The sequence below is a fragment of the Homo sapiens genome, chromosome 14 (genome assembly GCF_000001405.40).
Source record: "Homo sapiens chromosome 14, GRCh38.p14 Primary Assembly".
Classification (NCBI taxonomy): domain Eukaryota; kingdom Metazoa; phylum Chordata; class Mammalia; order Primates; family Hominidae; genus Homo; species Homo sapiens.
Window position 1 is genome coordinate 58,654,294 of NC_000014.9, and position 24,742 is coordinate 58,679,035.

The 24,742-nt window shown below is 39.3% G+C and overlaps 2 annotated features.

Annotated features, from left to right (window-relative positions):
- Positions 8,875-9,376: an enhancer, noted in NCBI's record as "H3K27ac hESC enhancer chr14:59129886-59130387 (GRCh37/hg19 assembly coordinates)". NCBI's record gives its function as "activates a minimal SCP1, AML or CMV promoter by ChIP-STARR-seq in naive H9 embryonic stem cells {active_cell/tissue: H9 hESC(naive)}" and the evidence as "EXISTENCE:reporter gene assay evidence [ECO:0000049][PMID:30033119]".
- Positions 9,377-9,877: an enhancer, noted in NCBI's record as "H3K27ac hESC enhancer chr14:59130388-59130888 (GRCh37/hg19 assembly coordinates)". NCBI's record gives its function as "activates a minimal SCP1, AML or CMV promoter by ChIP-STARR-seq in naive H9 embryonic stem cells {active_cell/tissue: H9 hESC(naive)}" and the evidence as "EXISTENCE:reporter gene assay evidence [ECO:0000049][PMID:30033119]".

Consider the following 24,742-nt stretch of genomic DNA (forward strand, 5'->3'; position numbering starts at 1 on the left):
GTGTCCTATCTAGGAAACCTTTGCCTAATCCAAGTTAGCAAAGATTTTCTGCTATGCTTTCTTTCAGAAGTTCTGTGATATTTGGTTTATATATCACCAATACCAAATTGTCTTGATTTCTGTAGCTTTATAGTAGTGAGTCTTGGAATCAGTTAGGGTAAGTCCTCTAATTTTGCCTTTCTCTTTCTCCTTCTTTTCCTCCTACTCCTCCTTTTTTTAATTCCTCTGATTACTCTAGATCCTTTGCATTATCATATACATTTTAGAATTAGGTTGTCCATTTCTACAAAAAATTAAGGCCTGCTAAAATTTTTATTGGTATCCCATAGAGTATGCATTACTATGAGGATATTGCCAGCCTGGGCAACATAGTAAGACCTCGACTCTACTATAAATAAAAAGAAAAATTAGCTGGGTGTGGTGGTGTGCACCTGTAGTCCCAGCTACTCTGGAGGCTGAGGTGGGAGGATCACTTGATCCCAGGAGTCCAAGGTTGCAGTGAACTGTGATTGTGCCACTGCATTCCAGCCTGGGTGACAGAGTGAGACCTTGTCTCAAAAAAAAAAAAAAAAAAATAGGGCTACCTTAACAACGAGTCTTTCATTTTAAGTATGTGATACCTTTCCATTTATTTGGTTCTTTTTCTAGATCTCCTGGGCTCAAGTGATCCTCCTGCCTCAGCCTTCCAAGTAGGTGGGACTACAGGCATGCCACCACGCCTGGCTACTATTTTTTATTTTTAGTAGAGATGAGGTCGGACTATGTTGCTCAGGCTGGTCTTGAACCCCTGGGCTCAAGTGATCCTCCTGATTTGGCCTCCCAAAGTGCTGGCTTTACAGGTATGAGCCAACATGCCTGGCTGGTCTTCAGTTTTCTTCAGCAATGTTTTGTAGTGTGGAGGTCTTGATCATCTTTTTTTTTTTTTTTTTTAGACAGTGTCCCACTCAGGCTGAGTGCAGTGACATGATCATGGTTCACTGCAGCCTCAACCTCCTGGGCTCAAGTGATCCTCCCACCTCAGCCTCCCAAGTAGCTGGTACAGGCATGTGGCACCACACCTAGCTAATTTTTGCATTTCTTTGTAGAGACAAGGTTTCTCCATGTTCGCCAGGCTGGTCTTGAACTCCTGAGCTCAAGTGATCTGCCAGCCTTGGCCTCCCAAAGTGCTAGGATTACAGGTGTGAGCCACCATGCCCGGTCTTTTAATTTGAATAATTTCTATTGATCTATCTTCACCTTCATTTAATCTTTCCTTTGTTATCTCCATTCTGCTATTGAGTGCCTCCAATGAGCTTTTTTTTTAAATTTCAGATATTATATTTTCTAGTTCTAAAGTTTCCAAACGGTTCCTTTTTTTTTATAGTTTCTATTTCTGTACCAAGAATTTTTGTCTTTTTATTCATTTCAAATGTATTTTCCTTTATCTCATGGAATGTAGTTATAATAGCTCCTTTAAAGTCTTTGATAGTTTCAACATTGAGGTTATTTTGGGGTTGGCATGTGTTGATTGTTTCTACCTTAAGAATTGGTCACATTTGGCTGGGTGTGGTGGCTCACGCCTGTAATCCCAGCACTTTGGGAGGCCAAGGCAGGTGGATCACGAGGTCAGGAGATGGAGACCAGCCTGGCTAACACGGTGAAACCCCGTCTCTACTAAAAATACAAAAACAAAATTAGCTGGGCGTGGTGGCAGGCACCTGTAGTCCCAGCTACTCGGGAGGCTGAGGCAGGAGAATGGTGTGAACCTGGGAGGCGGGGCTTGCAGTGAGCTGAGATCGTGCCACTGCACTCCAGCCTGTGTGACAGAGCGAGACTCCGTCTCAAAAAAAAAAAAAAAAAAAAAAAGAATTGGTCACATTTTCCTGTTTCTTTGGTTGTCAAGTAATTTTGGATTGCATCCTGAACATTGTCAGTGTTATAGTGCATAGTTTCTAAGTCCTTTTGTAATCCTTAGAAGAATGTTGATGTTTTTGCTTTAGCAGTCAATCAGTGCGGTTAGGCTGTGACTAAGTTCTGATGATCTTCTGTGGGCACTGGTTTAAATTTTATAATAAATTATATGTCTGTGCTGTGCTGCTTTGGGTCTGTCCTGCACATGCATAGTTCAGGGGTTAGTCTGAGACTTATGCGGGTGGTTTATATCTCAGTTAAATTTTGAAGGTCTTTGCTATAGTGGTTTGTGTCTGTTCTGTGCATTCTTGACTCAGATGATAGACTGAGCCTAGGGTTCATACACAGAATTAGGGGACCACTTTCTCTAGTTCTTTCCCCTTTGGAATTTCTCTCACTCACCTGCCCCATCTGGTTAACGTTTCCCAGTTCTTCTGGCCAGAAAGACATGTTTCTATTGGAATTTTAGCTATGAATAGGCCACTGGGGCCTGCCCTCAGGATAAAGCTGCATCAGAAAAAAAAAAAATGGGAAAAACTCACCAATCCCCCCGAATACACCTGCTTTTGTTTACTTTTACAGTCCTCAGGTAGTTTTTTCCTCCCATGTTTTTGTCCACGTCTTTAGTTGTAATCAGCAGGAGGGATAGGATATTTTGGGCTCACACTGCCCTGGCAGAACCAGAACTCTACTGACCCATTTATTTTTCATATGGATACAATTCAAAGACCCAGCAGAGTCCTGCAGGAGAGCCAGCCATGTGCTTCACCCAGATTCCATACCCTACTCTGAAAAACATATATAGGCTTTCTGTATTCTGGTTTTAAAATATGATGTAATAGCAAGCAAGTCATTAAAAGCAAGGAAATCCTTTATCAATGACAAAGATTGGAACATTAAGTTTTATTTTACTTTTTTCTAGGTGCAAACCTTTAATTTGGAGGGTAGAGGAGAACTACGTAATCATTTATTCCTATACAATTCTTTCTTTGTGGCTAAGGAAATAACATTCTCTATACATATGCATATTGCCTGAAAGGTGGTGTAAAAGTGCCTTTTGTTTCCTTGTGAGTCATTTTGTTGGGTTTCAGAACTGTCACTTTTAGTTATTTACCTTACCATAATATCTCTGACTATAATATAAATACAATATATAATTATGCTTTTGAAAAGGGTTTTTTACTTCTTGGCCCACAGTGGTTATTTTGGAGCTATTACAACCTATCTGTTGAACATAAGGACTAACAGCGTGGAACCCAAATTTGATTCAGAGAATTATTTTGATTTGAAGACTGTTGCCCAGGTAAACAACAGCTGCTTTGGAATCATTACAGCTGAAGTGGTCAATGAATAATTTACTTTTATATTTAACTATTACAGGTGAATATTTCAGGGTTACCAAAGTAGGAAGTATTTCTTATCACTAGTTTATCTTGCTGTTATATTTTAAAGGGAATACTATAAATAGATACTAGGATATAAAGTTTCAGAGTTTCTTTGGGAGACATTGATTAACGGTGGGCAAAAATCAAAATGATCAGAGTACGAATTTGGTATTGTATACAGCCCTAAAATATATTTATTTATCAAAATCTTATGCAAAATGTATTATGCCTTTGAACTTGGGCAGGGAGTCTTGCAAGAGCAACTTTTTCCCATGATATTTTCTTTTAAAATTTATATTCCTTACTTAAGAAGAGGTTGTTCCCACATTTTTGGCATTATAGTAGGTTCTGGCATTTTAATTTGAACATGGTACCTAGACAGAACCAGGAAATGCAAAGATCTAAATTTTTAAGACTAAGGGGAACTTTTATTTTTCAACTGAAAATAACCTTTTGTTATTACAAACACAGTATATGTGTATTGCAGAAAGTAAAAATAACATAAATAAGCCATATATATATATAATGTAAGCAAGAATATAAACTCCTTTTTATTTTCCAGGGATGATTCCTGCCACCTCTTTACTGTCTGTTCTCCCATATCTCTTTCCAATTATGCATATATGTATTTTTTCTGAGAATAAGGTCACACTTCACTAGCTATTTTGCCACTTGCTTTTTTTTTTCTTTTTTTTTTTGAGACAGAGTCTTGCTCTGTCCCCCAGGCTGGAGTACAGTGGTGCGATCTTGGCTTACTGCAACCTCCACCTCCCGGGGTTCAAGCGATTCTCCTGCCTCTGCCTCCCGAGTAGCTGGGACTACAGGTGTACGCCAACACATCCAGCTAATTTTTGTATTTTTAGTGGAGATGGGGTTTCACCATGTTGGCCAGGCTGGTCTTGAATGCCTGACCCCAAATGATCCACCCACCTCGGCCTCCCAAAGTGCTGGGATTACAGGTGTGAGCCACCGTGCCCGAATTTTGCCACTTGCTTTTTAAAGTTAAGAATATCTGCTATTTAAATGCATTTTGTCTTATCTAATATCCAGTCTATGATCACATTTTTCCCAATTGTTTAGAGGAGCTTTTAGAAACAAATTTAATATTCTAAATTAAAAAAATTCATCCAAAAATTAAATATCAAGCTTTGATAACTAAGGATGTTATTTTAAATATTCACTTGATTTGATTTGGGGATTTATTTCATGGGAGGTCTTTGGAAGGCCTAAAAGTTGGTATTGATAATCCCATGGTCAATCTGTCACATAGATTGATTCTGATCATGGCTGTAGAGTTACCAAAATTACAAATGAACTGCCTGGGTTCTGGTGAATCCAGGGACTGAAAGGAGACATTCTGTCAGTAAGTTTCTAATAGAAATGAAAAAATATATGAGAGGAAGGTAATAATATTTGTATTTGTAGCATTTTACTTTCTTTCGAATACCTCATACCTCATGCAACATGTGAATAGGGTTCACCTTGGGAGCAAGTTAGGACCTTTGGAAAGGGCCTAGGTACTTGCTGGCCATTAGAGTGGATCCCATAAATGAGTTTTGAGTTTTGTCCTCCAAATAATATCCCATGTTAGCCAAGAGTTACAATTCTTCCAAAAGAGCCACAACTAGTTAAAGAGAAAGATTCTTTTTCCAGTAACTCATCAATTGACATTTAGAGGAAAGGATTTAGGAGGCTAAAAATATGGCTCATTGCCTAAGACACACAAATTTCACTCTTAAGAAACAAATTTCTGGAAAAGCGGTACTATTAGATTCAGATAAATGTACCTAATTTTCCTTTTGCCTCCCTACTTAAGTTTTTAAATATAAAAGTAATCTAAACCTATACATTACATAAAATTTAACAAATATACAGAAAAGGCAAATCACCATTTACTTTCCTAATCAAACAATCATTAGCATTTTGCTATGGTTCCTCTAAGTATTTTTTTCTATGCATATGCCATAGTTACTATCTCATATATATATATGAGATTTATATATTTATACATATATGCTTACACATAAGTACATACCATATGTCCATATGTATGTACATATATGTAAGCATATATGTACACTTACTTATACATACACATAATTCCTTATATATGTCACATGTACTACATATACATAAACATATATGCTTGCATTAGTCAAGGATTTTCTTAGATTACTATAGTCTTTCTAATCAGTATTTTGTAGTTGTTACATCCTATTTTATTGCAGTATTCAATTATTTATCCATTCCCCTCTCGATGGAAATTTTTCTTGTTTCTATTTAGGACCCAGTGTCTACTGGCCCACCCACTGACTGGGACTGAGATGCTCCGCGGAGGCTTCTTCCTTCTCTTCCCCACCCATTCTCAGGGCATATCTCCAGGATCCACATTCTGGAACATTCCCTTGGGGGGCCTGATCTCAGGGGTCAAGCTTTGTTTTGGCTCTCTTGCTTGGCCCTACCCCGATGTACTTGACATCTTGAACTTTTTCTTCTTGTAAGTCTGCCTTGCCAGGAATTTGGACTTAAAATCTCCTTTCTTCTCCGCTTCTTTCCAATCCTGTCTGCCTCTTCCCGGCTAGTCCTGGGTTTATAGATCTGTGCTTGAGCCAGAGTGCTAGGCCTTAGCTCACCATTGGACGGAAGGAAAAGGTCACTAAATCTCTAGTTTCTGCCTATAAATAACACTGGGATGAACTTTTTTGGTTAAGATTTCCCCCCCATATTAAGGATTATTTTCTTAGAATAGAATCCCAGAAATGGAACTACTGAATGTGATTATTTTTAAGACTGTTAATATTTATTGTTGAATGAATGTAGCTAATATTTATTAACCTTTTCTGAGACATTATCTCATTTAATTCTCACAACAGTCCTATACACGTTCCTATTATGGATAAGGAAATAGAGGGCTGGACATGGTAGCTAACGTGTGTAATCCCAGCACTTTGGGAGGCAAAGGTGGGAGGATTGCTTGAGTCCAGGAGTTCAAGACACCATTCTGGGCAACATAGAGAGACATAAATAAATAAATAAATAAATAAATAAATAAATAATTAGCCAGGTGTGGTGGTGCAAACCTGTGGTCCTGGCAACCGAGGAGGCTGAGGTGGGAGGATTGCTTGGGCCCAGGAGGTCAAGGCTGCAGTGAGCCATGATCATGTCACTGTACTTCAACCTAAGTGACAGAGTGGGACCCTGCCTCAAAAAAAAAAAAAAAAGAAAGAAATAGAAAAATGGGGGTTTGTGTAACACTACAATTCATTATTTTGGGCTGTCATCATTTTTCATTATATTTTAAAAGGTATCAATAGAACTTTGTTAATGTGTTTATTTTTGGGGGGCAGAGTGTATGGTAATGGAAGTTTGGTTAAATAATTTTCTTTCTTTTAAAAAACAGTTGTGATTCTTTTTTTGAGCATTAGTCATACAAAGATTTTCAGATTTTTTTTTTTTTTTTTTTTTTTTTTTTTTTTTTTTTTTTTGAGATGGAGTCTCACTCTCTTGCCCAGGCTGGAGTGCAGTGGTGCGATCTTGGCTCACCACAACCTGCACCTCCTAGGATCAAGCCATTCTCCTGCCTCAGCTTCCCGAGTACTACAGGGACTACAGGTGCGTGCCACTATGCCTGGCTAATTTTTGTATTTTTATTTATTTATTTATTTATTTTTTGAGATGGAGTCTCACTCTGTTGCCCAGGCTGGAGTGCAGTGGCGTGACCTCGGCTTACTGCAACCTCCACCTCCTGGGTTCAAGCAATTCTCCTGCCTCACTCAGCCTTCCGGGTAGCTGGGATTACAGGAATGTGCCACTACACCTGGCTAATTTTTTTGTATTTTTAGTAGAGACGGGGTTTCACCATATTGGCCAGGCTGGTCTCGAACTCCTAACCTTGTGATCCTCCCACCTTGGCCTCCCAAAGTGCTGGGATGACAGGCATGAGCCACTGTGCCCGGCCGATTTTTCTATTTTTAATAGAGATGGGGTTTCGTTATGTGGCTAGGCTGGTCTCAAATTCCTGACCTTGTGCTCCTCCTGCCTCGGTCTCCCAAAGTGCTGGGATTATAGGTGTGAACCACCGCGCCCGGCCGAATTTCAGATTTATAAACAAAATCAGTTTAATACTAAAGGATAAACAGTAGGGCTCATTGTGAACTCATTCATCCAATATTTCAGCACCTACCTGTTCAGTGCTACTGTGTAGCACTGTGTTAGGAGCTGTGTGGATACTGCACTAGAACAAAGCTTTACAAGGGGAGAGGCTCTGCTTTGTTCAGTGCTGCATTTCCAGAGCCAGGACAGTGCTTGGCACGCAGTGAATATTCAGGAAATCATTTCAGAATGAATGAAAATATGGTCATGCACTGTTTTTACCAGTTACGGTGAGTTCAGCTGTGGGTGACAGAAACCCCTAAATTACAATGGCTTAAACTGGATGTAAGTTTGTTTTTCACATGAAATAAATCTCGAAAAAAGCAGTCCTGACTGCCAAGGAAGGTTCCTAATACCACCAGGGCCCAGTTTCCTCCTGTCTTATTGCCCTGGATTTCTTGGCATATAATTTTTTACTTCAGAGTCTCAGCTGACTGTGTGGGCTCCAGCCATCATGTCAACATTTCCAAGGAAAAGAAGAAAAGAAGAGCATGCTTCCTGTTTTTCACAGCACTTCCTGGAGGTTGCACACAACTCTTTTACTTAAGTCTCATTGGCCACAACTTAGTTACATTGTCACATCTAGCTGCAGCAAGGTTAAGAAATGTGAACTTCATTATGGGTGGCCATGTGCCCCAAGTAAAATCAGGAGTTCTATTTATGTGGAGGAAAGAAAGAATGTATTTTGGGAACAACTCGCAGCATCTCTTGATAATGAGCTTAAATCTTAGGAGGTGAAATTATAAACACATTAAATTTTAAGTAACCACATAAAACTGTATATTATTGAAATCAAACAAGTAGTACAGATGATAGGAAGCACAGAGAGAGAAGATCCTTACAAAATCTTGGTTGATTAACTGCAGGAATATAGTGAAGGGCAGCATCATAGCTGAGGGGGTGAACCCGATACACAGAGAGTAGTGGGGAGAATTGGAGTCCAGTCCAAAGGCTACAGATGTTTTATATTAGATAGAGGTGGTAAAAATACAAAAAAAATGCACAGTGATTAAGAATAAAATTCAATCTGCTTTTGATCATCAAGAAAAGGTCATAGTAATAGTTTTAAAATCAATATATTTTATTTAAAAAGACTTTTACCACCTTTAAAGAAATCTTTAAAGCCATGTTACTTAGATTTCCCCCTGCAAGCCTCCTGTGGTTCTGCTGTGTTTAATCGGTGGTTCACCAAGGTTGTAGTTTTCTCTATAAGGCTCTTCTATTCTCTTGCAGGGCACAGAGCACTCAAGGGACTCTTGTGGCCAATGGAGGTTTCCCTGAGAGTTGGGAAACTATAGTGCCCCTGTTCTATAACTGCTGTCTCAAAAACAAGTAACATAAAGAAGGGAGGAGTGAAAATTTGGTCCACGTATTTAGAGGCTGAATTTCTTTCTCTTAACTTACTAGTTTAAAAATTATACATAGAGTACACATACATTAAATAATTAGAAAATAAAGTTAAACATAAAGAAAAAATAACCTGTAATCTCCAGAGATGGCCTCTGTTAATATTTTGATGTAAGCTCTTCCAGACCTTTTAGTGCCTTTTTATAAATACATTCACTTAAACATTGATTTAAAAAATACTCTCAAATTGCTGTCTTATAACCTGCATTTTAAATTTAACGATCTAGTGTGAACTTTTTTTGACCAATAAATCTAATCGCGTCATCATTTCAAATGGCTGCATAATATTTTATTGGGAAGATGTCAAGGGCCGATTTCTAGTGGCAGGAAATATGTCTGCAGTACTTCTTTTATCAGGAATTTAGGAGAGCTGCTAACTCACAGGAGCTGAGTGGGAGCAGAAGGCTTGAAAGAAGGTCATCAGAAAAGGTTAGTTGCACAGTTGCCCCAGGCTGAGAGACTGAATCTAATACCTGGACAACTGGTTACTCCCAAAGGAGGCTGTCTGGAGATGTGGCTGTCAGCATGGATGGGTATCTCTCATAGCCTGTGGCTCCCCCAGGAAGCCCAGGTGAGGGCCTCTTTAAAAGCAGATGGCTCTGGAGAAACCACCTCAGGCCAGCAGCTGGTGTTCTGTAAACAGCCCTCATCTGCCAGATGCTTGCCTGTTCTCCAGTTGGTGTTAGAGACTAAGAGCTCTGTCAAAGTGGGTGTAGTTTTAAAACTTCTTTAGCTGCTACATCGTCCCCCAGTAACCTCACCCCTTCACCCCAGCATTGTTCACATTCTGCTACCGATATTTGATTTACATAGAAAGCAATTACTTCATGAGCTGGGTATGTGCAGTGCTTAAGTCTTCTCACTCAGGAGCCTTTAGAAATAAAACTCAGATTAGGTAACAGCTAGGGCAGGATCATTGAGAACATTTTTTAACAGTGACATAATGACTTTCCTCAGTTATTTTCCCATTGTTTGAAAGGAATCATTATCTCTCTGTGAAACCACATTTGACATTGAGGCTTCAGTGAATTTCTGAAAGGCTGGCCCTTCCATCTGAATGGTAAGAGCCTACCTGCCTTCTGATAATGGGCTCTGCACCATCAGGGTACAGAATGGATGCTGGGTGCTTGCAGGCTGCCCTGATGTTATCCATTAAGGGTACATATCTTACAATGTGAGAACTATATCTGATACAGATTTTGCTCCACAAGAATAAACTTATTCTTACTTGAGGATAAATGACTGCAGGGATCATTGGCTTTTAAGTGTCATAATTTTTTATGTCATTATGAAAAAAATGGGGGCTGCAGTAAACCACTTAGTATTATATTTCCATTTTCTGGATAATGGATTAGGTGTAATGTTCCAGCAAAAGTGTGTAGACCTACAGAGGGGAGGCTAGAAATAGAACAGGATACAAAATATGTACAACAAAGTTTCCCAAGAAAGTCAAGTTAGCTTTCCTCTGATATGACCAAATATTAAAATATAAGGTGAATGCTTAGGAGAAGGGTTCATGATTGATGGGGCACTAAATTTTTAAAAAACCTGATTAAGTTCTTAAGGGACCCTAAAATGGGAATTTGGAAAAGGCAAGGGTAGTCAGAATAGCAGAGATTAGGGCTGGATAGTAAACAGTAACCTGGGGAAGTAATTAAAGATAAAAGCAGAAGAATTCAACACGGGAATGCTGAGATGTGAACTTGAGAAAAAAAAGACAGTAAGAAAGGGACATAACAGTGCATATAACCTTTATATAGTGTGGAAATAAGATATTTTAAAATTCTGACTTGGGTTTTCAACTAGGAAAGCAGGAGTTTTACTAGGACTCATACATTCTGAATAAGAAGAAGAGTCAATTTTACGATTTTTGATAAAGGGGAAATGAAAAGCTGCCTCATGTTTCTAGTGGACAATCTTTTTGAGGTAGGTTTCCTGGAAGATATTCCTCCTGTATGAGTAGCTCTCGCTCTCTCTCTCCTTTTTTTTTTTTTTTTTTAGGTGAACTAAGGTCAAAACCACTGGCCATTGGGCTAGGTGTCCAAGGGTGCTGGTGTTCAGAGAAACAAAATACTCTGAGAAGCAAATGGGGAAATAGAGAACCACAAAACACTTTGGGGAAGGTCACACTGGCAAATATTGGCATAGCAAATTGCTTCATAATGTAGGTATTGCTGAAAAATTCAGTGACCCCCAGGGTAAGTTGTGGATTGATTGGCAGGAGTCCAGTGAATAGCTTGTTTTAGGGTTATACATTTGATGTTGTCACTTTATATTTTTCTCAGCCTCCATTTCTATACCTATAAAATAATGGCTTTGGAACAGATGATCATGATTTTAGCAAAGACTGAGGAGTGGCTAGAGCTGTGCTGTTGGGGGTGTTGAGTGTTATTATCTAAGATAATAATGCACCAATCATCTAGGTAGAGCTAGCTAGGAGTACAAAATCTACAGAAGTCATGAAGCTTAAGTGCTGATGGGTCAATGGTGGAAGAGGGAACTTCTAGGACATGGTCTTTGGGCATAGTCAAATGGCCAATGCTTTGGCATTTTGCTTTTAAGGCCTTCTTTCTGCCTGGCTCTGGACCTGAGCCTTGTCAGTCTTATAGCAGCCATGTCTGGGAGCAGCTGTTAAACACAGATATATTTGTGAGAAGTTTGCAAGTATCAAAAAAAAAAAAACAGTGGTGACAACTTAAGCAAAATCAGGGAACTTATTATTAGGAGACAGGAGTGACTTGGGACCTTGGGAACCAACTAGAACCAAAGACCGGAAGCCTGTTGGAACTTTCCATCTCTAGTCTTGGTTCCTGTCTGTGTCTCTGCCAGATCTGTTAGGCATAACCTTATTCTAGTCAGCACTATCAGAACACAGTTGGAATACAGTATCCAGGCCCGGTCATCACATCCTGAAGGGAAACATGAAGGCTGTTTAAAGGAGAGCCATAGAATGACTAAAGACCTAAAAAAGAAAAAAAAAATTATGTCAGAGAGGAGATGCTAGAGGCCTGGAGATAATTCATTGAGAAAAGTCTGCTATTGGTGCATAAAACGGTCTTAATTAGATGATGGATTATTAGTGTAAGAAGATGATGACCAACTGTTCTTTGTTTTCACTAAGGATAAACTCACAGAAAAAGTGAGTCAGGCTAGATGAAAGTAAAGAGGTGATGGCAGTGGTGACTGTGGCATTATGATGGCTTTCAGGAGAAAGCTGAGGCTTCTCCTGCAACCACTTGACAGACAGGTAACTTGTGTCTCTCTGGAATGATGTCCATTCTGTCTTCAGGCAGGAGGATGGCCTGGAAGGGCCTATCAACCCTTCTTAATTTGGGGGGCAGGTATTTGGTTGGGTCATAGCAGCTCTTAATTTTTTCTGGTGAAGCAGTGTTTGAAGGGGCTTCTTAGGCTCTTTGGTGTTTTCTCAGGCTTATATCGTACTATATTGTACCATTAAGTAACTTTCTACCTTTCTGGCCCCTCATCTCAAGTTTCAGTGTCTAGCTGACAAAGTGCATTCATATTTTATTTGCAGGTTTGGAACATATTTGTTGCTGGTTATTTAGAAAATTATTAAATCTGATGTTCATGTTGTTTTTTGCTTTCAAGGCATCCAGTGGCCATTTGAGAGAAATGAGACTGAAATGCTTATTTATTTTGCTTTCAATTGCATGATTTGACTTTTCAAATAAAAATAATTAACATATCCTCTCCAATTACAAAAGAAAAATAATCCCTCCTCCTCCTCCTTAATTGCTTTAAACTCAACATTTACCTCATTTAGATACATGTGACTCAAGTACTGAAAGCTGCTCAGCTCATAATGTGAGGGGGGAGGGAAGAGTAACATTTTGTAATGAAATCCTCAAAAGTAGCTCTAAATGTTGGCTGCCTTATGTCTTAAATGACATACTTCATATGATAGAAAAAAGTCAATGAAAAGTTTGATCTGGTATTTATTAGGTAAAAATGGCTTCAGATGTTTCCCAGCTAAATAGACCATGGCAGAAAAATTATAATGAAAGAGCAGAAGAGTTGCTATGGGTGTTTATTCCCTAGAAAGCCATTAGAATAAAAGTCACCCTCACTTTTTGCTGGCCTCTCTCTGGTGCATTAATGTCACTCTCAAGTCCCTCTCTGAGATGGTGGTGTTTCTGACCAGCCAGAAGTAGTTTTAGTGATGAACAGATTATTTTCTGAAAAAAATGAGGTTGTCACTAAAAATAAGGCCTCTGAATAAAAGAAACTACTTGTATCTGATAATGACACACACATTTTGACACCTATACACTGTTTTGCTTCCAGATAGATGTCCATTTAAGTCACCCTATAATGCCTTCCCCCACATACTACTGATTTTCCCATTATATTTCCTAATGATGGAAATTTCTTATCTAAAGTTATTATGGCCCCAATTGTTACACTCAGTATGGTTTTGTTTTATTTTTGTATATTAGGTTTGGGTGAAATTATAAAGAATTTGGGTTCAGAACTGTGCTCGCCTTCTGGAGTACCTATCACTCAGGTGAGAGGTACCTTTGGAGAGGGTGTGCTGCCTAAAGCCACACACCACTGAGTAAGATGACAGTGGACAGGTGAGGCTCGAGGGGCCTGGGCTACTGGGAAGGGCTTGTGCATCCAGGAGCCAGGTGGGTGTGGTGGGAATGGGAATGGGGAGTAGAGGTGTCTCCTCTGTGAGGGCGGGCAGGCAGTGAAAGGCCAGAAAAACACCCAGAGAGCACAAGTCAGACCTTCTTTTTTGGAGGAACCACTGAGATGATTGTTGGGGACCTGACTGCATCCAGAGCTGTGTCTACCCTATGAACCTTCACTTCCACTGACCCTGAAGTCCTTTAGAAATGTTGGCACTCTCATTAGACGGGCTGTTTCATCCTGATTTCACATTCTCCCCATGTGCTAGTCTTGAAACCATTAGGTTTCTCCTGTTTTTCTTATGATAACGTTGCTTGACTAGACAGTGTCGTTTTAGCCAATAGCCCAAGGCAAAAGCTGAGTGCCAGGCTTTCTGTTTATCCAGCCTTGCAACCCTCGGGTGCAGGCAACGCTCTCCCTCTCCCTTACTGTGTTAGTCTGCTTTCAGTTAGATGCCTTCCCAAATCTAAGAGTAAAGGTCTTTGGATAGCAACACCTGTTGTATGTGAAGCAACTGGATAGGGTTATGAATCCTCATGTGGCTCTTCCACATTCAGTGAGAGAAAAGCACGCAGGTTCACTTAGACAAAGCTGGCTCACCACTTTACAGTTTAGATGGCATTTATTCCCTGAATTGGTTAAAAGTAGAAGTCTCTAAGAAGATTAATCTACTCTGCAGAGATTTTTTCATGAAATAGAAATGCACCCTTTTTTGGTCTTTCTCTTAACAGAGAAAATGAGACAGCTGTCACCTGGCCCTTGAAAAGATAGAACTTTTCACTAAAGTTGTCTGGATATATACATTGCCCAAGTTCTCCCAAGTCTTACCACTGAACCATGTCTGCAATGGTCATGTTCCTTGTCAGCTCTGGGGGCTTTGAGCCTTGCTGATACAGAGCAGAGTAGGAACGGGAGTGGGTGTGTAGGTGAAGATGACTGGAACTTTAATCTCTTCCTGAGGTCTGTTTTTGAATTTGCCAAAGATAGAGGACAAAGCTTTGAGAGTGAGAACAGTGGTGGAGAGAAAGAGCGTCTTTTTAAAGAGGTGTTGAGATGATGGGGTCAGATGGCTTCAGGAAGGCCAAGGATTTGTTGCTAAAGGTAGGGGCAGTGTCATCGGGACCACTTGTGGGTGGATGAGAAGTGAGCTAGCCAGCCCAGGGATAAAAGCAACATGAATTAATGAGGCTTCTGAGAATCCTCAGCAATTGGACTGACCCCTGCTGCCTAGCTTCCCAGGGTGGGTTCCAAGCACAGTGTGGCCTCACATTCTAAGTAGCTGACAGCAGGAGGTGCTGATATGGAGTAGTGGAGGAAGGGTTTGCCAGAAGAGAAGCTTGGGAAAGTCTCAATCCCCAGGCTTTGGAATAAGTAGAAGAAAGCCTTGCTACCCTAAATAGTGACAGCTGGAAATCACGAGGGAGCATTCTGTTTGGGAGTCATGACCCTTCCCGTCACATTTCTGCATTCTGGCAGGCTGTTGGAGAGATCTGTGTGACAGCCTCACCTTTCAGCACGCCTCAGTCACACCAGGGAGACAGCAGGAGTGAGGAGGAAGGAGAGAGAAGAGAGCTTGCGCCTGCTTCCTAAACAGTTCCTTCTCTCTGGGTCAGGACCAGGTTACAGAGGTCACCAGTCATGTGGTAACATCCTGATGATAAGGTGGAAAGTCTCTCCTCTACTCCCTTGAGGTGGCATTTGCATGGGCCATTAAAGAAGGGATGTTGATCTCTCCTGGGCCATCGTCCACACACGTATCTCAGCCCTCTGCCAACCCCCTCAGCAAAGGCACCCGGGTTAGAATCTAGACATTCACAGTGGGGAACTCTTGATTTTTAATTATGCAGGAAACCACTTTATCTTTTTAAAATGATAAATGACTTAGGAGAAGCAGACACAATCATGCCTTTTCAGGATTGTTTAGGAGATTTGGAGGTAGAAATATGATGGATTGGATTTGAATTCACTTAGCGCTGACTAAGATAAATTGTCACTAAAATCATAAGGCTGCATATTTTCACAGTCAAGCCCATTTCACTTTTAAAACTAGCTACTCTCTATAGGCTTCTTGTCAGCAACAGGGAAGGAATGGGATAATAATTATCAGATTAGGAGAACACCATTAAAATCACTAAGGTAGTCTGCTTGCCTGGTTGAAATATTTGGTTAGGAGGCTCATCTCATTGCTTCCTGCAGTTGCAGCAAGTGAGGAAATATCCCTGCGGCCACCGTTAGAATGAAACTTACGCATTCCTGTCGCAACAAGCACCATGATGTTCCACAATGAATTCAAAGCAATTGTCTGTTCACATCATTAAAAATAAAAAACATTTCCGATTCATCTTAGTAATACTCAGATAAAAACAATGAACTTGCTCTGGGCAAAATTTTCCTAAAGATTATATATTCATAATTACTTATATATATGGGCAACCTTTGAAATAATACACACGAAACTGGTAACTTTGAATGTCTCTGAAGGGAATCTGGATGATTAGGAGAGTGGGCTATTATTATTTAGATTACAATGTAAAAACTACTCATTAAAATATTACCTGTTAATATTAAAAACATTCCTTTTAAATATCTTTTTTCTTTATTGAAAAGGGGACACCATGCTGGCTGATTTGCTTTTTCTGTTAAGTATGTGATGGACTCATAGTATACATTCACCTGCCCTGGGTTGTAATAAAGACAGATACAAAGACATAGGCACAGACATTACTGCAAAATCATAACAGAAAGCAAAATTCATCACGGTAATTGTCCCACCACATCATTGGCTGGAGGCTGATAATGGTTGTTAATTTAAATGTAAATTTAAGATAAACTGTCTTTTATAATGTATCTTATAAATATAGTATCTGTTTAGAGTAGAACATTTAGAAATGCTGATAAACAGAAGAAAAATCACCCATAGTCTAACCACTCTGAGATCATTGTGACTAACCTTTCAAAATATATCCATATATATCTGTATAGGCCCCTTTTCTATGTTAATCTTTTTATATTTGGCTGTGTCCATGCATGTGCATATGGGATGCTGCCAACTAATTTCCCTCCAAGAGCCAGGCAGATAACATAAACGTGTCAAATCAGCTGGATATAAGGTGAATTGGAGAATGATGAGTATTATGCTAACCTGGAGAGCTTATACTTTGCCTAAAGATATCTCAAAGTTTCAGTAATATGTGGCCAAATATAACAATGTAGGCAGGATTTAGCTTGTGGGCCACCAGCTGATTTCACAGGAGGTAACCAAGGTTATTATTTTCTTCTGTATCTTTTCAGAGATATTCTGTATGAGTGTATGTGTATATTTTAGCTGTGCACACTCACACAAATTCATTCTCTCCTCAACTTCTGGCTCTTTTTGTTAAGCAAATGATAGCATGCCATTTCCAATTTTACCGCTGAGACTGAGACTGAGTCAAATATTTTGGCAGATAGTTTATTGTACTGTCTGCATTATCACTTATTACCTCCCTCCTGATCATCTTCTAGGTTCTCCTTGGTCCAACTCAGAGAATGTAGGGATTCTTTCCCACTACAGTATGTTTGCATTTCCTTTTAGTGAAAAATCTCTTCCTACTTTAAACCTTATGCAATTCCCTACCCTCTTCTCTTAACTTTAAACCATGTCAATTTCCTTTTACTTTCTTTCCCCGACTTGTTAGTATTTTAATCACCTAACAGTTATGATTACCTTCAGATTCCACTAGCATTTTATTATGCATGCTGCAAGAATCGTAATAGATGTTAAGTAAGATTAACCCTGAGCTTGACCTGTGGGTCATCCTATTAGAGTCAACAACCTTCTCCAAATTGAATGCCATGTCATCTATCATTGTACTTTCTAAAGTCTCTTGCCAACGGTTTTAGCTGTGATGAGCTGCTTTCAATATCACCCATCTGCTACCAACTCCTATCTAGCAATATAACCATTTAATGAAGAATCTCGTTCAACTAATAAGATTATTAGGCAAGATTCTGTTGACAGTGCACACATTGGCAGCTTTTCTTGAGTGCTTTTTAAAAAAATTGCTTTGGCTGCAGATAAAGTGACGCTTTTCCCCAAGGTGTGTAGAGTTAACAAAGTACAGTGAAAATAGCAGAGTTTAAATCTTGACTTTATTGATGGATGATCTTGGTAGGCATCTGACTATGGAGCCTTGATTTCTTCATTATAAAACTGGGCTAATATCCGTTCCAGTTATGTCACAGGGTTATTGGAATAATGTTACAAAACGAATGCAAAATCACCTTATCGAATGCTATCTGAGAAGATTCTTTTCCACTTCAGGGCTACTCAACAATCAACTGAGAAAATAGGATAGCAGTGGATTTATATTTATACTGTTTAAAAACCACAATTCCCCTCCAAACCTCCCTACTCTTCTTCAACCTTTCCCTTAGTACTCCTTATTCAGCACCTGAGTTTGATTCTGACTTCTTGGAGGCTCTGGTCAAAGGTTCTCTGCTTCCAAAATCTTCACTTTTAGCCTTTCACACCTGCACTGAAGATATTAGGCTCACTTCTTCATCCTAGTGTATATTTCCACCTATGCCCGGCTTCTTTTTTTAAATCTCCTCCCTGAAGTTGCTCCATTCATTGCTCCTTTGTTTTTGAGACAGGGTCTGACTTTTTTGCCCTGGCTGGAGTGCATTGGCATGATCTCAGCTCAATATAACCTCTGCCTCCTGAGTTTAAGCCATCCTCCCACCTCAGCCTCCCAAGTAGCTGGGACTACAGTGAACATCACCATACGTGGCTAATTTTTGTATTTTTTGTAAAGACGGGGGTTTCACCATGTTGCACAGGATTGTCTTGAACTCCTGAGCTCAAACAGTCTGCCTGCCTAGGCCTCACAAAGTGCTGGGATTACAGGTGTGAGCCCCCGGCACCCAGCTGCTGGTCCATCTTTTTGGAGTATATTTTTTCTTCTCAGGCAGCTCCTTCTCTCCTACGCGTGTGCCCATGTTTCTTTTTCTAAAATCCTTCCCTTAGTGCAGCTATTTCTTTAAGGCTACCACTCATCCCATCTCTCTCCTCCACACCACCAGATATCTGCTCCTTCCATTCCCTTCTCACTCACTTTGTCCTTAGCTTCTTGCAGTCACATCCCCCCCTCCCCATACTACCCTGAATGGGGTAGCTGAATCTGATGCATTAAAGGTCACTTTCTGATAACCAAATCTACTGATGTATACTCAGCTCTCATTTTTCTTGAATTTCTTACAACTTTAACATGATTAGTAATAAAACATAATTCTGTTTTTATTCCCGCCTTCCCAGTCAAGTTTCTCTTTTTCTTGCTCCTCCAATTCAGGTGTTCTTCAAGGTTCTGTCCCCAAGTCTTGATGATCTCATCAAGTCTCACATCTTTTGTGAATAATCACCAAATACCCAGGTCATATCCCAACTGTAGTCCCAATTTCGAGGCCTTCCTTACCAATAGCTGGCAGGGTACCTCTACATGAAGGTCATGATGAAGCCGTTCAAACTTAATATTTCAGTTGAACTTACCATCTTCTCCTCAAAGCTGGTCTGTACACTTGGTATCCCTATTTCCGTTCAGACAACTTTTCCTGTAAATTGACAATTACTTCTAAATTGCAAAATAAACTGAACCCCAGGTCTCTAGGCTGTCGAACTGGGTGAAAAGCAAATCAGGAGAACTATTAGAGTAATAGCAATCAGAGTGAAATTAACATGAACCACAAGAGAAAGCCAGGCAGGGGAACAGGAAATCAACATCAAGCATTTTGCTTAGGAATCAGATGACCAGTGCTGTTCAATATGCCAGTGTTTGTATTTCTAGTCTTCCTTCAAGGCTCCTGCCCAGCAGATATGAAGACTGGGCCCTCATTGCAGTTCATTGTTTAAGAACTACTGTATGATAACAATATCTCTTTAGACTATCTAATTCCTTATTCTCAGTTTTTAAATTTATACATTCTCCCTTTTTTTTTTTGTCTCACTGTGAAATCTTTTCAACATACAGAGAAGTATAGATGAGATAACGAATACTTCATTATCATCAAACACTTAACCATTTGGTCATGTTTGCTTCAGCTATTTATAAAACTCTTCATCTTGACATAATTTTAGATTTTGAAAAGTTGCAAAAATAATACACAGTCAGCATATGTCCTTTGCCCAGCTTTCTCAAATATTAACACCTTATGTAACCACAGCACAATGATCAAAACGAGGACATTAATGTTGATACAATACTCTTAACTAACCTGCAGACCTTACTCATGTGTCACTAATTGTCCCACTAATGTCTTTTTTTCTGGGCCAAGATCCTACCTTGCACCTGGGACAGTTCCTCAAGTCTTCTTTTATTTTGTATGACGGGATATTTTTGAAAAGGACTGGCCCGTGATTTTGTGGAATGTCTCTCAATTTGGATTTGTCTAGTATTTTCTCATGTTTAAATTCAAGTTATGCATTTTTAGCAAGGATACCACAGAAGTGATTTTGTGCCTTTTCCAGTATATCATATCAGGAAGTACTCAATGTCAACATGTTCCATTACAAAGTGATGTTCACTTGGATCACTTGGTTAAGGTTTCTCCAATGTAAAGTTACTCTTTTCCTCTTTGTAGTTAGTAAGTATTAATAATTTATCATTCAGAAATACTTCGAGACTATGCAAGTATACTGTTTTTTATTATAATTTTATGTACTAATTTTAATATCCATTCTTGCCTGCAACAATTTTTACTTTGGTGTTTGCCAAAAGGTGATTTTTCTATTTCCATCATGCCTTCTCTCTGATGTATTCATTTAGCCAGCTATTTATTTATAGCTTTATGGGCTAATGGAATTTGCTTTATTCTATAAGCTATAACCCATTGCTATCACTGTTTTGTTATTTAAGGTGTTTCAGATTGGGCTTCTTCACAATGACTCCTGTGTTCTTTCTAGATGCTCTCTTTTTTCTTTTTTTTTTTTTTTTGAGACAGAGTCTGTCTCTGTCACCCAGGCTGGAGTGCAGTGGCACGATCTCGGCTCACTGCAACCTCCTCCGCCTCCCGGATTCAAGCAATTGTCCTGCCTCAGCCTTCTGAGTAGCTGGGATTACAGGTGCACGCCGCCACACCTGGCTAATTTTTGTATTTTTAGTAGAGACAGGGTTTCACCATTTTGACCAGGCTGGTCTTGAACTCCTGACCTCAAGTGATCGCTCCACTTTGGCCTCCCAAAGTGCTGGGATTACAGGTGTGAGCCACTGCACCTGGCCTTTAATTTTTTTTTTAGTACTTCCTTACTCCCTGGTACCACAGAAGTTCCAGGCTCATCTTGTACTTTCCCTACTCTACCCCAAAATGTTTCTTTCTTTCTTTCTGTTTTTTTGTTTTGTTTTGTTTTAATAAACGAAACATCACAAAAATCCTCTGTAACCTGTGAACACTTCTTATTCAAATTATTTTTTGTTTCCCACGGTGGATGTTTTTACTGTCCTGATGTGGGACCTATCAACCCTATATATATTTCCATCCATGACTTCATACATTGATTACATGTCTATGTATCCATAAATAATACAGTAGGGATTTTTGCATATTTTATGACTCTGGGTAAATGAAATATTATAAACACATGTAACTAGACTTTCTAAACAAATTAATATCAGTATGTGTGGCTCAAAAGCTCATTCATTTTAACTGCTGTGTCACATACCGTTGTAGGATTAAAACAAATGTATTTATATTTTTTTCATCACTTGATAAACATTTTGATTGCACCCAATTTTTGCCCTTATAAACATGTTCTTGTAAGCTATCTCCTGAACTATTATGTTACAGTTTCATTGGGTTATATACTTAGAAGTATAATTACTAGGCCTTAGGGTATTTATGTATGTCTTCAATTTCATTAGATCTCGTCTCCAAAATGGTTTTTTAATTTGTACTCCTACCAGTGATACGTGAGAGTTCCTATGTCTACATAGTTTCCCTTGGTATTGTCAGTCATTTAAAATTTTTGCCAAAGTGGTAGGAGTGAAATGGTATTTGTTGTTTTTATCTGCATTTCCTTAATTATTGGTGAAGCTGAGCATCTTTCATCCTTTGTGGCCATTTCTCCTCTGTAAGCTGTTCATAATCTTTTGCCCATTTTTCTGTTGGATTATTGTCCTCTTGTTGATTTGTAGTTTTTCATGAGTTCCAGCTACTGGCACTTTGTTATCTGTGATGCAAGTATTGTCTCTCAAGTCAATGGCTTGTCTTCTAACATTGCTTGAAATGTCTTTTCATCCTTTTAACTTCAATTCAGTCTTCCAAGTGGGTTTCCTAATAGGACGTATTAATAAAGTGGCTTTTTGCATGCTACTCATAAATCAATTTCTTTTAACTAAAGTCGTTCAAGAGAAGTTTGAGACAACTCGATGAGTTTGAAATGAATTTTTAGACTCAAGGGTCAGAAATTCACTTGGGGATATTTAAAAAGAAAGAAACCAAAAAGCAACTTTGATCCTTTCACAAGTGAGGTGTAGCCTTCATCTGTTTTTTTTTTTTTTTTGTAATATAATCTGAGGCTGAGAAGGGGCTCTTTGATATCTGTAATATCCAATTTAAAATTCACTGAATTCTAGAAATAAAGACCTAGAAGGAACCACAGGGACCATCTGGTTCAACCCTCTCATTTTACAGGAAATAGAGGCTCAGAGAGATGAAATAAAATATTTAGGGCTGAAACCTAGTTTCTTTTCCTTAAAGATTTCAATTTTTAAAAGGATGGATTTAGCTCTTCATTCCTCCAAGGGAATGGGACTTTCATAAATTGACTCGGATACACATAATCTTCTAGAAGTTTCCCTCTTCTTTTGAGGTGTTCCCCTGCCCCCCATTTACTAACACTCTTGGAGTTGCATATAAATCCTGGTCAAATGCTTTGGACACATAGCAACTAATATTCCCCTGAGCCTACTGGGTACTATAAATCAGCCTGCAGAACGGATGGGGGACTTCCATTTTCTCTTTGTTTTCTTACGTCTCTTTCTTCTTCCTTTTCTTTTATTTATTTATTTTTTATTTTATTAAGCCCCATTTCCCTTCTCTAGGGAGAGTATACAATAATATTCTTTCTTAGACCCTGGAAACTTGGGTTAGAAATACATCTCTCCAGATGGTTAGGGGAGAGTCCCTTGAGCCAGACTAAAAGCCTTCAATATTCTTTTTTCCCACTTATTTTTCTTATGCTGGGTCCACATCTAAATAGCCTAAAAGCTTATTTTGGTTAAATCAGTTTTCTTTTCTAAATAAAGTGCTGCACGAGGGGTTTTGTTTCTAGTTAGAATCCTTTTTTAGCTCTAAAATGTCTATGAATCTAGGGTAAGATTCATCAGAAGGGTGTTGAGAAAAAGCAGAGCAGGCAACTGACTGTAAAGATCCTTCGGGATTGCTGGTAATGACCGTGTATCTTAACTGCCCAGTGCTGTTAAACTACTCCTGGATTACCCGTAAGCTGCTTTCTGTAGTAGATGTCAGATTTCTCTGGGTCCTAACTTTAAAAAACAGCTCTCCACCACCACCACCAACTCAGTATGCTAGAAACAAGACTTAGCTCCTAGAGGACAGTGGCTGCGTCTTAGTCATTTTTGTTCACTCGTGCTGCCCAGTGATAATGATGACAGTGGTGGTGATGGTGATAAAAATAAAAATAAAATAATTATGCTTATTACATGCCTGGCACTGTTCACAGTATTTCACACATATGAATAACTCATTTAATTCTCATGTCTAAGAGGTAAATTACTATTATTATCTCTATTTTACACGTTCAGGCATAGAGAGGCTAAGTCATTTATCCAGAGTCATACTGTTTACCATCAAGATCCAAACAGAAAAGAGATGACATATAAAGTAGTTAAATTGGGAGGTTTATTTACAAAGCGGGCTGGCTACAAATGTGGGTATACAGGAGGCATTGACGGAGCTAGGAGCAGGCAAGCTGTTACTACCCCTAGGCCTGAATGGATGAGGGAAGGGAGCCGTCAGCAGAACCCAGAAGGAGAGAGAACTGTGTGAAGCCAATTGCACATTGCACAGAGCAGTGATTTCTGGGCAGGTACACTCCCAGTCTATAGCAGTCTTGCAGAGAAGGAGTCAAGGGAATAAACACCCTAACCCCTTTCTCTGCCCTCCTTCTGCACTCCTGACAGGCCCTTTCAGTGGCATACTTTGGCAGACCTTCAAGCGTCCTGAAGACCACTGATGCCATTCATGCAGTCCAGCACCAGGGCAGACAGCAGAGTTCATATGGCACACACCAGAGTTAAGTAGTAGACCTTTGAACCCGGGCAGTCTAACTCCAGTGTCCATATTCCTAACCACTGTGCCAAATAATGCCTTCTATATTAAGGAGGCACTGCAGTACAGTGACTAGCATGTAACTGGAATGTATTAGATAACTCATCAAAGAGGCATGACTTGCTCAATAAATGACTGGACAGCTTCACCTTCTGCCAATGCATGTCCTGATGGCAAACAACCATGTTGATTTCATTATTGACTTATTTGTGTGTTGCTAGCTTGATCTAGAAAGGATTAGAAATTATTGGACTCATCTTCTCCATCATTAATCATATTTCTGTTTTCATTTTTCAGATAAGGCAAAAATCGACTGATTTTTCTCCAATTATATATGCTTTTGTCTAGGTGTATTCTCTTGATGGTTATTCCAAAATAATTGTATTACAGCTGCTCACAGTTGAAAGTTGCTAGAAGTTAAATTGCTCCCTTTCAGTTTCCAATTTTGGGGGAGATCACTAAATTAAGCTGAATACTTAACTGATTTTTTTTATAAGCAATTGCCAATTACTTCAGGAATCACCATCACTGATATAAAATGTTTTGATATTGTTGTTTTTAACTAAGTTTCTCTTTCATGGAATGGAAAAAATCCCAGGGCACTATGTGGTCATTCTAGAGAAGGAAAGCTAACATAAGGAATTTTTGATTCTGTATGAAAAGTAATTGAGGAGGAGAGAAATGGAGGGTGAATTCCATCCTGGGAAAGTGGCCTGAAGGCAGAGTTCATATCAGAGGCTTCATCAAGGAGATGACCCAAAGGAAATTCACAGTCTTAACCCTCTCCTTAAGGACAGAGGAAAGAAAAGTAAGTAGGAGGAGAGCATGAGTGCTGTTTTAAAAAAATACGTATGCCTTTGATTTTCTCTTTTAAACTTTGGGACACGAAAAATTGCCAACAGGAATAAGAATTCTGATTCAAATATGACCAT